We start from the raw sequence: 12,039 nt of genomic DNA, 5'->3' as shown, positions 1-12,039 counted from the left end.
TTTCATATTTCTCTTGCGTTACCTTGTTTCTCAGAGAATTTGAAAGCTCCCAAATAGCTGGAAAACCCTGGGCTTCTGAACATGGCTGCACACAGACGGCTCGGTCACACAGCCTGCTCTACAGCTAATTCTCAGCCAGCTACCACCTTTGTCTGGTCTAAGCAAAACTGGGTTGAGATTTTTCACAGTGCAGGACTAGAGCGACCAGGCACTTGTATCTTTGTGCCTATGGAACAGGAGAAGCAAGAGGCCACTGGCTGGAATAGCTCAGACCCCATAATCAGATTATGAACAGAAATTAAGCCTGGAGGCGCTGCAACAGACTGGAGCCCAGTGATGGGACGTGGGTGATGTAGATGACCAAGGCAAAGCCATGGCGCATCCCAGCATTTGCTCCGGCTAAGGAGACAGTGCTGCAACCTAACCATCCTCGGAGGAGTCAGATACAACTTCCTCTCCCTACGGACACACATACAAAGAAAAACCTACAGAGAGCCTCGTGTGTTGGGAAGAAGAGACGCTTGAGTATTTCCAGGCTGCTCCAAGTCTGGCTTTGGCTGAGTTAAATGAAGTATTTTCCTAACAGAGAGCCAAAAACCCATACTTAAGATTTATGAACAACATATGAGTGAAACTGTGGGAAAAGAAAGGCAGATATTACTAGAGATTCCAATTTTTTTTTTTTTTTGAGACAGAGTTTCTCTCTTGTTGCCCAGGCTGGAGTGCAGTAGCGAGATCTCGGGTCACTGCAACCTCAGCCTCCCCAGTTCAAGTGATTCTCCTGCCTCAGCCTCCCAAGTAGCTGGGATTACAGGCACCTGCCACCACGCCCAGCTAGTTTTTTTGTATTTTTAGTAGAAACGGGGTTTTGCCATGTTGGTCAGGCTGGTCTTGAACTCCTGACCTCAGGTGATCTGCCTGTCTTGGCCTCCCAAAGTGCTGGGATTACAGGCATGAGCCACCGCGACTGGCCCCAAAATTTTAATTTGAGGCAGAAGCCATTAAGTTAAGCTTCACCTGTTAGACTGCCCCCTGTTTAATTTTAACCACAATATGTAGTCGGTGGGCCCAAGCAATGCTCATGCAATTCCAAGAAAAATTCGCAATAATTACAGACTGACCATATTTACAGAGAAATGGAACATTCAAGAAAACCAAGGGAAATAATCTCATTTGCAAGCTAAGGAAATAGGGCTAGAAAGGTAACTGGCTCCTGGATAGACAACTGTTTGGTGATGGAGCTATGGGATCTTGGGGAGGTGGGATCAAGACTGTGATTCACCACACCCCACCTAGGAGCAGGGACTCTGAGTTTGTCTTTGTATCTTTAGTTCTGGACACTGTACCTGGTGCACAGTAGGGCTGCAGGAAATGTTTGCTGAATGACCACAGGAAATCACAAGATAATCTCTTCTAAAAACTAGACATCTCCTTCTAAAATGGGTGTGTGGAGTTAGTATCGTGTGTTCAAACCAGGTGGACTTAGACTAATTTGTAAAATACAAACACACTTAAGGTGAAAATGAAGAATTATATGCTGAATTAATAAAGACACATAAACACAAGGTACATCAACCCTGGGTACAAGAGGTGTCAGTGATAGCATTTGGTATTTTTCTCTAAACTCCTCATTACATTATAGTCACAAGGTCAGGAAAAAGTATGGCAAATAGGATAGTTAAAAAAAATTCAGCAAGGAACAATGTCAGTACCATGGATAACTAAATTAGAAACTTGATGGTAAGGTCATAGATAATTAGCAACAAAAAGAAAAGAGGGAGTGTTGGGAGGAGAAGAGGAAGGAGAGGAAATAGTAGAAGCAACTGATTCTGGAAATAAAGAGATGAACCAGTCATGGTGGCTGACACCTGTAATCCCAGAACTTTGGGAGGCCAAGGCTGGAGGATCACTTGAGGCCAGGAGTTCAAGACTGGCCTGGGCAACATGGCAAGTCCTTGTCTCTACAAAAAATAAACAATGAGCTGGGTGTGGTGGTGCGTGCCTGTAGTCCCAGCTACTTGGGAGGCTGAGGCATGAGGATCACTTGAGCCCAGGAGGTTGAGGCTGCAGTGAGCCATGATCACACAGCTGCACTCCAGCCTGGGCAACAGAGTGAGACCCTGTCTCAAAGAAAAATAAAAGAGAGAGAGAGAGAGAAAGAGAAAGAGAGAGAGAGTGAGATAGGATGAAATTATATGTTGACATGTGGACAAAAAAATCCTCGATAAAGAACGTAACACTTTACAGAACATAGTATCACTGCTTATCACACTTTCTGTGCCTGAAAACTGCTCTTCCTATAGAATAGTCAATTACAGTCATCCTAAAAGAATCTAAATGTTGATTTTGTATTATTATTAAAGAATAAGTCTATTCTAAATTTTCTTTTCAAATTGTCCTGTCACTTGCTTTTCCTTTTTTTCTTTTCTTTTTCTTTTCAACATTTATTTTAGATTTGAGGGTATGTGCTGCAGATTTGTTACATGGGTACATTAAGTGATACTGAGGTTTAGGATGCAATGGATCCTGTCACCCCAGGACGGAGCATAGTACCCAATCGTTAGTTTCTCAGCCCTTGCCCTCCTCCCTCCCTTCCAATATTTTAAAAATTTTAAATGAAATTCTACTACAGAATTTTTAAAAATGTTGGATATTCTCTTTAAGTTGGTAACAAAGTCTTATTAGAATTCTTTGCTTCACCTATGGATTATGATACAAAGCAAACTGACTTAAATATGACTTAATTGTTGAAAGGAAAAAGCATAACATTTTTTATGAAATTATGGATATAAAATTTAATCTATTATTTAAGCATCCTATCCATATGAAACCAAATAAGACTGTGAAGAAAAATCTATATTTTATGTTAATAGAAAGTATCTGTGAAAATTTTTCCTTTACTCTCCAATAATTATAATGAATTATTATTATTTTTAGTTTTTCCACTTGACATTCAAAAATTATTATTATCATCATTGTTTTAGGCTAGCTCATTCACACAGGGGAGCTACAAAATACCCAAACATTTCCTTACATCATTCCATAGGTTAACATATTTATTTGCAGAGGAATTCTAAGTTGTGATTGTGGCTTTCTTAAATTTCAGGGAGAAGACGTTTTAACTGAGCGCTGATGGTGGTGTATTCCCTTTTCAATAGCATCACACAGCTACCAGCTCAGCATGAACGCACAAACTTCCCTGCTGCTGTGTCCACTGAGAAGCACTAATCTTACTCAGGGGCAATGCTTTATGGAAGTACAATATTTTAGCGGATATTTTTAAGGTTTTCATCTTTAACTAAAGAGAAGTAAAAGCAAATATTGAAGTTGCCTTTAGATGGGCATGCGAACCTGCTTTAGGAGAAGAGGTAAAACCGTGTGCCTGGGAGAGGCTGAGGGAGGTCACTGTCATAGCATGTCATGGAACATGGTCATGTCATGGTACACATCACACTATGCCATGGTACACATGACATCGGGCCATGGTATGTGCCATGTCGTGTCATAGTTCATGGGTGGTGGCTGGAGGAGACCTGAAGGATCTATGAGTGAGCCATTGCAATGCTGACACCCCACAGTGGTATCACTGGAACAAGTGAATCAGGCCCAGGTGGACCCTGGGAAGACTGGAGCCGAAGGGGCCTTTCTGATCACCTGGTCTTCATGTAATGAAATGTTAGATGACTCCTGTAGAATACTCAAGGTCACAAAGCTTGTGGCGTGGAAGTGCCAGGCTGAAAATCCACATGCTCTGACTCTCCCCAGGACAACTCCCACATTCCTGATCAGCCTGAGCACAAGAGAACCGGGGCCATTGTTGTAAACTTGTCCTGGATTGAGGTCATAGGGCCTCCCAGCCCTGGCCCACATGGATGTCTCTAGTAAAGGGGCCAGCCTGACCCCAGAAGGAGCCGTCAGGCCAGCTGCAGTTGTCTTTCATAAACCTTATGATTTCTAGGTCTAGTTTTGATCCCACAGACATTGCTCAAAACCAGGGCCGCCCACAGATATGAGTAACTAGGGCATAGCTAAGGCCATAAGGCTCAGAGAGAAGTCAGTGTCCCTGGTGGGGTGTGGGTGTTGTGTATAAAAAGAAGCAATTGATTATTATTTTTCCTTTTCTTCCTAATTCTCCCACGTTATTGGAGAGGGATAAGATGTGGACATGGCTACTATGAAGTGTGTAGGAAGCAATGACTCATTAATTCTATTTCTGGAAATGCACACAAGGAAATTACTATGAATGAACTCAAGGATGTTTAACATGGTTTTGTTTATAAATTTATAAAATTAGAACTAGTCTACATGGGGGTGCATATAGAAGACTGCGTAAATAAATTACAGAAGCAAACTAGGGTTGAAGCTCCATTACTGATTTGAAAATTCTTAATGTTACATTAGAGATACACACACACCTAATCAGAATGACAGGAGATAGAGCAAGCATTAATTTTCTTATAATTCAGAGATAACTCTGTTCATGTTTTTCCTTCTCTATTTTCCAAAGTATCCACCATATGCATGATTTCCTTCTGTAATTAGCAAAACAATTAAATACAAATGAAGATGAAGGCAATAGGACCAGCCACAATAAAATAAAAAAAAAAAATCAAAGAGGAAAATAGGATGGTGAGGCCAGGATAAAGTGAAAGAACATATATGGAAGCACTTTGAAAATGGACTGCATTATTTAATCTGTGCAAGGAACTCTGTATTGAAAAGAGATTCAGGTGCACTACACTCTCCTGCAGAGGTCTGTACGATGTCACCTCATGTTACCTCGTTGTGCTCACCGAACATCAATGAAAGCACTCCCAGTCTACAGAAAAATGAGCTGGAATTTATTTATTTATTTATTTATTTATTTATTTATTTGAGATAAGGTCTGGCTCTGCTGTCCAGGCTAGAGTGCAGTGGCACGAGCACCGCTCACTACAGCCTCAACCTCCTGGACTCAAGCCATCCTCCTACCTCAGACTCTTGACTAGCTAAGACCATGTTCAACTATTTTTTTAACTTTATAAATATGGGATCTTGGCCGGGCACGGTGGCTCACGCCTGTAATTCCAGCACTTTGGGAGGCCGAGGTAGGCGGATCACCTGAGGTCAGGAGTTTGAGACCAGCCTGACCAACATGGTGAAACCCCATCTCTACTAAAAATGCAAAAATTAACTGGGCATGGTGGTGCATGCCTGGAATCCCAGCTACTTGGGAGGCTGAGGCAGGTGAATCGCTTGAACCCGGGAGATGGAGGTTGCAGTGAGCCGAGATCGCGCCATTGCACTCCAGCCTGGGCAACAAGAGTGAAACTCTGTCTCAAAAAAAAAACAACAAAAAAACAAAAACAAACAAAAAAAAACAAGTATGGGATCTTGCCATGTTGCCCAGGCTGGTCTCAAACTCCTGGCCTCAAGTGATCCTCCTATCTCAGAGTCCTAAACTGCTGGGATTACAGACATGAGCCACTGTGCCCGGCTATGAGCTGGAATTTAAGTGGACAGTACAGGGGAGTGTGATATTACGACCTGCAGTTGTCTGAGTACATACTGTTGTGAGTTACTGATACACTTCCAAAATTAAAAAGTGCCATGGAAGTGAGTTTAATGAAATCTACTATACGCCACTAAAGACCACAGCTGGACTGAAATTCCAAAGTGAAGGATATATTTTCATAGCCCAGTAAAGGAGAATTTTGTACACTAGCAACAGCCATAAATGGTATTCTCATTTTCTTTGTTGAATTTTCTTTATGTGTGTAGATCCTTAATCGGAGGCAGAACTGCCTGACCTGAGGCAATCCCCCATGGAAAGCCCACTTAGGCCCTTTCATTTCTCTTTGATCACATCTCACTGGTCGGTCAGACTTTCCAGATTCCTCATTTTAGTCTAATTCTCCTCCTGCGTGCACTGTGAAATGCTCTGTGAATTTTGGTTAGTGGTAATATTTTGGACAAGCCTGCAAATAAAATGTTGCGTTACATCACTGCATAAGGTAATTTAAAACAGACCACGTAGGTAGAGATGAAAAGGCAAAAGTACATTTAATAAGAAATATTACAAGTCACAACTATTTTTTCTTTATCAGATGCGTTGAAAGAAAACGGTGCCAGCCTTTCTATACTTCAGAATTCTTTTTCAAAGAAAAGGCTTATTGCAATCACCTAAAAGACTTTATTAGTGTCTTTAAAATAAATGTTCAAAAGAGTAATGTTAACATTTGTAATGAAATTATCTCCAATCGTTTTAGTTTCTGGTTCATTCCAAATCTATGACTAATGATTCTTGGGGAGAAAAATGCAGGTACCTCAGAGGAAGAAAGGGTGGAGAACTGATTGTCAGAAAAAAAGACATAGGTCAGTTCTGTTTAAAGTACACACTGAAATATACATACAATGGAATATTATTCAGCCTTAAAAAGGAAGGAAATTCTGATGCTTGCTACAATGTAAAGGAACCTTGAAGACATTATGCTAAGTGAAATAAGCCAGTCACCAAAGGACAAATACTGTACAATCCCACTTATATGAGGTTTCTAGAATGGTCACATTCAGAGACCGATAGTAGAAGGGAGTTTATCAGGGGCTGGGCAGAAGGAAAGTTGGGGAGTTGTTGAATAGGTAGAGTTTCAGTTTGGAATGACGAAGAAGTTCTGGAGAGGGATGGTGGTGATGGCTGCACACTCTGTGAGCGAATGCACCTAAATGTCACCGAACTGTTCACTTAAACATGGTGGAAATGGTAAATGTCATGGTATGTACATTTCAGTGCAATCTACAATAAAATGTACACTGAGGGCAAATCACAGCTGACATACAATGCAGGCACATGCTGAGCACCTGGAGAACAGCTCTTGTGAGGGGCACATGGCCCGCCCACCACTCGCTGGAGGCCAGGAGACGCCAACGACGATTCTGACCTCTTCAAAGCCCCAACCCACAAAGGGCTCTTAAACAATGATGGGACGAATAAACATAAAACTAGCTGTTCCCAGGAACGGTGGCTCACACCTGTAATCCCAGCATTTTGGGAGGCTGAGGCAGGAGGACTGCTTGAGACCAAGAGTTAGAGACCTACCTGGGCAACACAGCGAGACTCCATCTCTACAAAAAAAATCTTAAATTAGCTGGGCATGATGGTACACACCTGTAGCCCTAGCTACTCAGAAGGCTGAGAAGGGAGGATTACTTGAGCCCAGAAATTTGAGGCTGCGGTGAGCTTTGATCATGCTACTATACTCCAACCTGGGTGACAGAGTGAGACCCTGTCTCTAATAATAATAATAATAATAATAATAATAATAATAATAATAGTAAACCTAGGCGTTCACTGTATGAAGTCTGTGGCTGCATCCCGGGACATCATAAGGTGCAGCGTGCCACACCTTCAGAGCTGTGGGGGCCCACGCCTCTCCTCTCGTGAGAAGAAGACCTCATGCAGAGGGGAAGGGGCTGACTTGATTACAATCATCCAGGGAGAGCGGAGAAGGCTCTGCCAAATCCAGTCATTCAATGCTCACTACTTGATGGTTTTCACATGAACAGAAAGCAGGGAAACACTGAGTCGTCACAGAGGAGAATTTCCTGTGAGTCTAAAAGTCCAGATGGCAGACAAGCACGTATATAAAATGTCTGTTGATACCGGATAGATCATAGCTGTTCTAGAGCTAGACTTGAATGATTTGAAGGAAAGAGTTTCAAATCAAGTAATTTCTGGCCCTCCTTGTTCTCAGAAGGGCATCTTAATAAAATAACAACAATGACAAACTCAGCAACAATAATCGGTATGAAAATGCAAGATAAGCTCACCCACCCACCATTCCTAATGTCACCCTTGTTTTTCCTTTTCTTTTTCTTTCTTTTTTTTGAGATGGAGTCTGGCTCTGTTGCCCAAGCTGCAGTGCAGTGGTGCAATCACAGCTTACTGCAGCCTTGACCTCCCGGGCTCAAGCCATTCTCCCATCTTGGCTTCCTGAGTAGCTGGGACTATAGGCGCACACCACCATGCCCAGCTAATTTTTGTATTTGTTGTAGAGACAGGGTTTCACCTTATTGCCCAGGCTGGTCTTGAACTCATGAGCTCAAGTGATCCTCCCACCTCAGCCTCCTAGAGTGCTGGGATTACAGGCGTGAATCACTGTGCCTGGCTTCCATGGGTTGTATTAATTGGCACCAGAGACCTACCAGGCTCTCAGAACAGGTCCCCAGCCCCTTGCTGATTGATGCAGGGTAGGGGAGGGCGTGTTCGTGATATTTCACACGTTCATGATTGACTTTCTTCATGGTCATATTATTGCATCGGGAAAGCAGATCCCGTGCTCACAGTGCAGGTGCCTTGGGGAGGTCATGACACAAAATAAATCAAAGGCACATTCCACACTGTCTGTTGAAATGACTCGAGACACGTTTACACTCATGCGTGGGTGTAACATTGGATTTGAGGCAAAGGATTTGAAACTTGGGTGACCCTCAGACCACATGGGGTGCTTGTTTAAAATGAAAGTCCTCCCACCACAGGTGATTACGATACACCCACAGAGTTAGAAAACACGAATACAAGCCACAGATGATATAAAGCCCAGGAAGAAGCAGGGAAACAGCATAATCAGATGGGGTGAGTGTGATGAAGGAAGGCTTCCTGGAGGAGGAGACTGGAGAGCTTATTTGTGGAGGAGATGGTGGCAATAGATGAATGGGGAGGCCATGGGCCCTCACCTCCGTGCCAGGAAGAAGAGCGGACAGTGTGGGAGCTGGAACTGGGAAGAGGCCTAACGGGGGCGTGGGCTTAAATGGTCCCATCCCTCTGCATGGTAAATGCGCCTGACAGCAATCACTTAGGCACACCCTGAGAATGGCCCTGTATGGCGGAGGCACCTGCATGGGGTTCAGGGTTCCAAGCTAAGGAATCCAGGAGAGGCCAACTGGAGATTCGTTCCTTATCTATGAGGAACATCTGAGCAGCTTCCCCGCCCTGCTGCCACCACTGCATGCACAGGGGGTCCGGACTGTTTGTTTTGGGGTATGTGAAGGCTGCCAGGTGGAGATTGTCGGGGGAGGTGCCAAGTGGACATGCTATTGCTATATAAACTGCATGCCTTTTGAAAGCGGTTGTGCTTCTCCTGCTCAGCCCGCTGCCACTGGACTCTCTCCCCTGTATCCAAGTCCCCAACAGAATCCCGTGCCTCGTTCACTGGCTCTGGGTCTCTTCTTCGGCCTCTTAAAACTGGTGCCTTCCCATGGAGTCGACAGGGGTTCGGCAAGACAGCCACCCACATTCAGACGGAACGTGCCATGGGACCAGCCAGGGCATTTCGGGGTGGGAAGGGAGGCCGTGGACAGTGCGCGAAGAAGCATCAGAGCCATCCCTGAAGCCCAAGTGAAAAAAGAAAATTCAGACGCTTGTCACACCCAGACATCAAGCTGGGATACATCATGCTGCTTGGTCTTCAGGTAGTGAGAAAACACATTAAAAAAAAATAGGGTCTTGTTCTGTTACCCAGGCTGGAATTCAGTGGCATGATCATAGCTCACTGCAGCCTCTACCTCATGGGCTCAAGTGATCCTCCCACCTCAGCCTCCCAAGCAGCTGGGACTATAGGCACCCACCATCAATGCCCAGCTCAGTTTTTTATTCTTTTCCTCCTGTTGTTGCTGGGGTGCAGTGGCATTATCCCGGTTCACTCCAACCTCGACCCCCTCAACTCAAGTGATCCTCCCACCTCAGCCTCCGGAGTATCTGGGACCACAGGCGTGCATCACTATGCCCAGCTAATTTTTGTATTTTTCGTATGTGCTTTCGCTATGTTGCCCAGGCTGGTCTCAACCTCCTGGGCTCAAGTGATCTGCCCGCCTCAGCCTCCTAAAGTACTGGGATTACAGGCGTGAGCCACCGTGCTCAGCCAAAATTATTTCTTTAACAGAAGGAGAAAAGTGAATTTGTGCTTTCCCTGAACAAGTAGCAGATGTAAGCAGTGAAATGACGACAAGGACAAGGACACCAGATGGAGCAGAGCCAGCAGCACCTCAGACGTTGTCTCCCAACTGTGCTAAAAATACACACACACACACATACACACATACACACACACACACACACAAGCGCTGAGTCTGACTCCAGCAGTCAGAGCTGTCCCTGTTCTCATGCAGCAGCTTATGAGCCCTGCTGCCCCAAGATCTCTGGAGGGAGGGGAGAACTGAAGCCAGGGTCTGGAGCAGTCAGGAGCCAGAGTGAGCCGCGGTTTGCGTCTGTCTTCCCGGCAGGCTGTCCTACGCCTCAGCTCAATGAATGAGAAGCCGCTTAGACAAGGGATGTGAGCCAGAGCGCTCTGAGCGCGGTCACTGCCGCATCCTGAACGCAGGCTCCTCCAGGTGTTCGTTTGCCTCATGTGCAGCTTTGGTCCATGAGCCATAACCCATAGAACCTGAGGCATCTGAACGAGCATTTCAGTGCAGGAAAGTGCCGTCTTCACTAACTTTCAGCTACTGCAGCAAGTTTGGAAGAAACTCAAAAGAGAAAAGATGGATTCAGCCTTACAGGTTCCGTTGGGAAAACGGTCCCCGTGGATGCTCGGCTGTGGCTATTAACCATACACACTCATTAAGCAGTTTTACTAAAGAGAACACAAAGGAAAGGGGAGGCTGGTTAATGCAATTTGAGGAGAGAAATGTACGATGGAGAGGTAATTGAGTGCATTCAGTCTACTCTACATTTTTATTTTAGTTTTTAATTGACAACAAATGTACATGTTTATGGGGTACAGAGTGATGATTGGATACATTTAATGTATAGTGATCACAGATTCACTAGTGATCACTAGTGATTGCCCACTAAGCCCTAGATACATGAGCTATACCGTTCTGTCCTTGGGGAAGTCACCTCCCCAATGCAAGTGACTTATCCACTTAGCCCACTTGTGGCAGCCCTGGAACGCACGTCCCCTGGCTCCTAAAACTCTGCTGTTTCCATTGTACCACCTTATTATCTGGTGATATTTCCTTCCTACCACACACATGACCTCACCATTAGATTAGAAAGACTTTAGTATAAAACATAAACAAGATTGAGAGTCTGCAAAACATCCTGGGTTAAAAGGAAAACATTCCACACTTCCTGATATAGAATACTATGAAGCCATAAAAAACAATGAGATCATGTCCTTTGCAGGGACATGGATGGAGCTGGAGGCTATTATCTTTAGCAAACTAACGCAGGAACAGAAAAACCAAATACCGCATGTTCTCACTTATAAGTGGGAGCTAAATGATGAGAACACATGGACACACAGAGGGGAACAACACACACTGGGGCCTTTCGGAGGGTGGAGGGTGGAAGGAGGGAAAGGATCATGAAAAATAACAAATGGGTACTGGGCTTAATGCCTGGGTGATGAAATAATCTGTACAACAAACCCCCATAACAGGAGTTTACCTATATAACAAACCTGAACTTAAAAGTTAAAAAAAAAATCCTGATAAAGTCCATACTCCGTAGAATAAGCCCTGATACAGGACTGAACACACAAGCTACGCAGTGAAGAAAGCCTCGTACCATTCTGTCCTTCGGACAGTCACCTCCCCCTGCAAACCTCCTGTTCTCCAACCAACCCATAAAGTATGCCTGCCAAGGAGAGTGTATATTCCTGTCACCACGGAGGACTATCATTTATAGAACAGTAAGTACTAGGCCACGTCTCCGGGGCTGGGGTTCTCCGGCTTCGTACAGGACACAAGCTCACTGCCACCGCCTCTGCCAGCCAGTCCCCAGCCACCAGCCTCCGCAGTCTGCCTAATAAGGCAATCTGCAGGTTGACCGGTGGCTTACAGGTCACCACTGCAAAATGCACACTCTGGGCTTGAAGCAAAGGGAGAGGCTACCTTTTGGCAGACAAAGGGTTACCCTGTGCCAAAAACTCTTCCAAGGCCGCACTGGGACTCCATTTACATAATAATAGAAACTTGTCCCTGCAGTTGGCCAGACTCCAGCCACAGGGTCCAGCTTACAGAGCTGAAGAAAGCTGAACTTCTGCAGTGGCCTGGAGCTTG

At 44.7% G+C, this 12,039-nt stretch overlaps 1 annotated feature.

Annotated features, from left to right (window-relative positions):
* Positions 11,230-11,801: an enhancer, noted in NCBI's record as "H3K4me1 hESC enhancer chr10:30932862-30933433 (GRCh37/hg19 assembly coordinates)". NCBI's record gives its function as "activates a minimal SCP1, AML or CMV promoter by ChIP-STARR-seq in naive H9 embryonic stem cells {active_cell/tissue: H9 hESC(naive)}" and the evidence as "EXISTENCE:reporter gene assay evidence [ECO:0000049][PMID:30033119]".

Source organism: Homo sapiens, chromosome 10, assembly GCF_000001405.40.
Source record: "Homo sapiens chromosome 10, GRCh38.p14 Primary Assembly".
NCBI lineage: Eukaryota > Metazoa > Chordata > Mammalia > Primates > Hominidae > Homo > Homo sapiens.
This window is presented reverse-complemented; position numbering and strand designations above follow the sequence as displayed.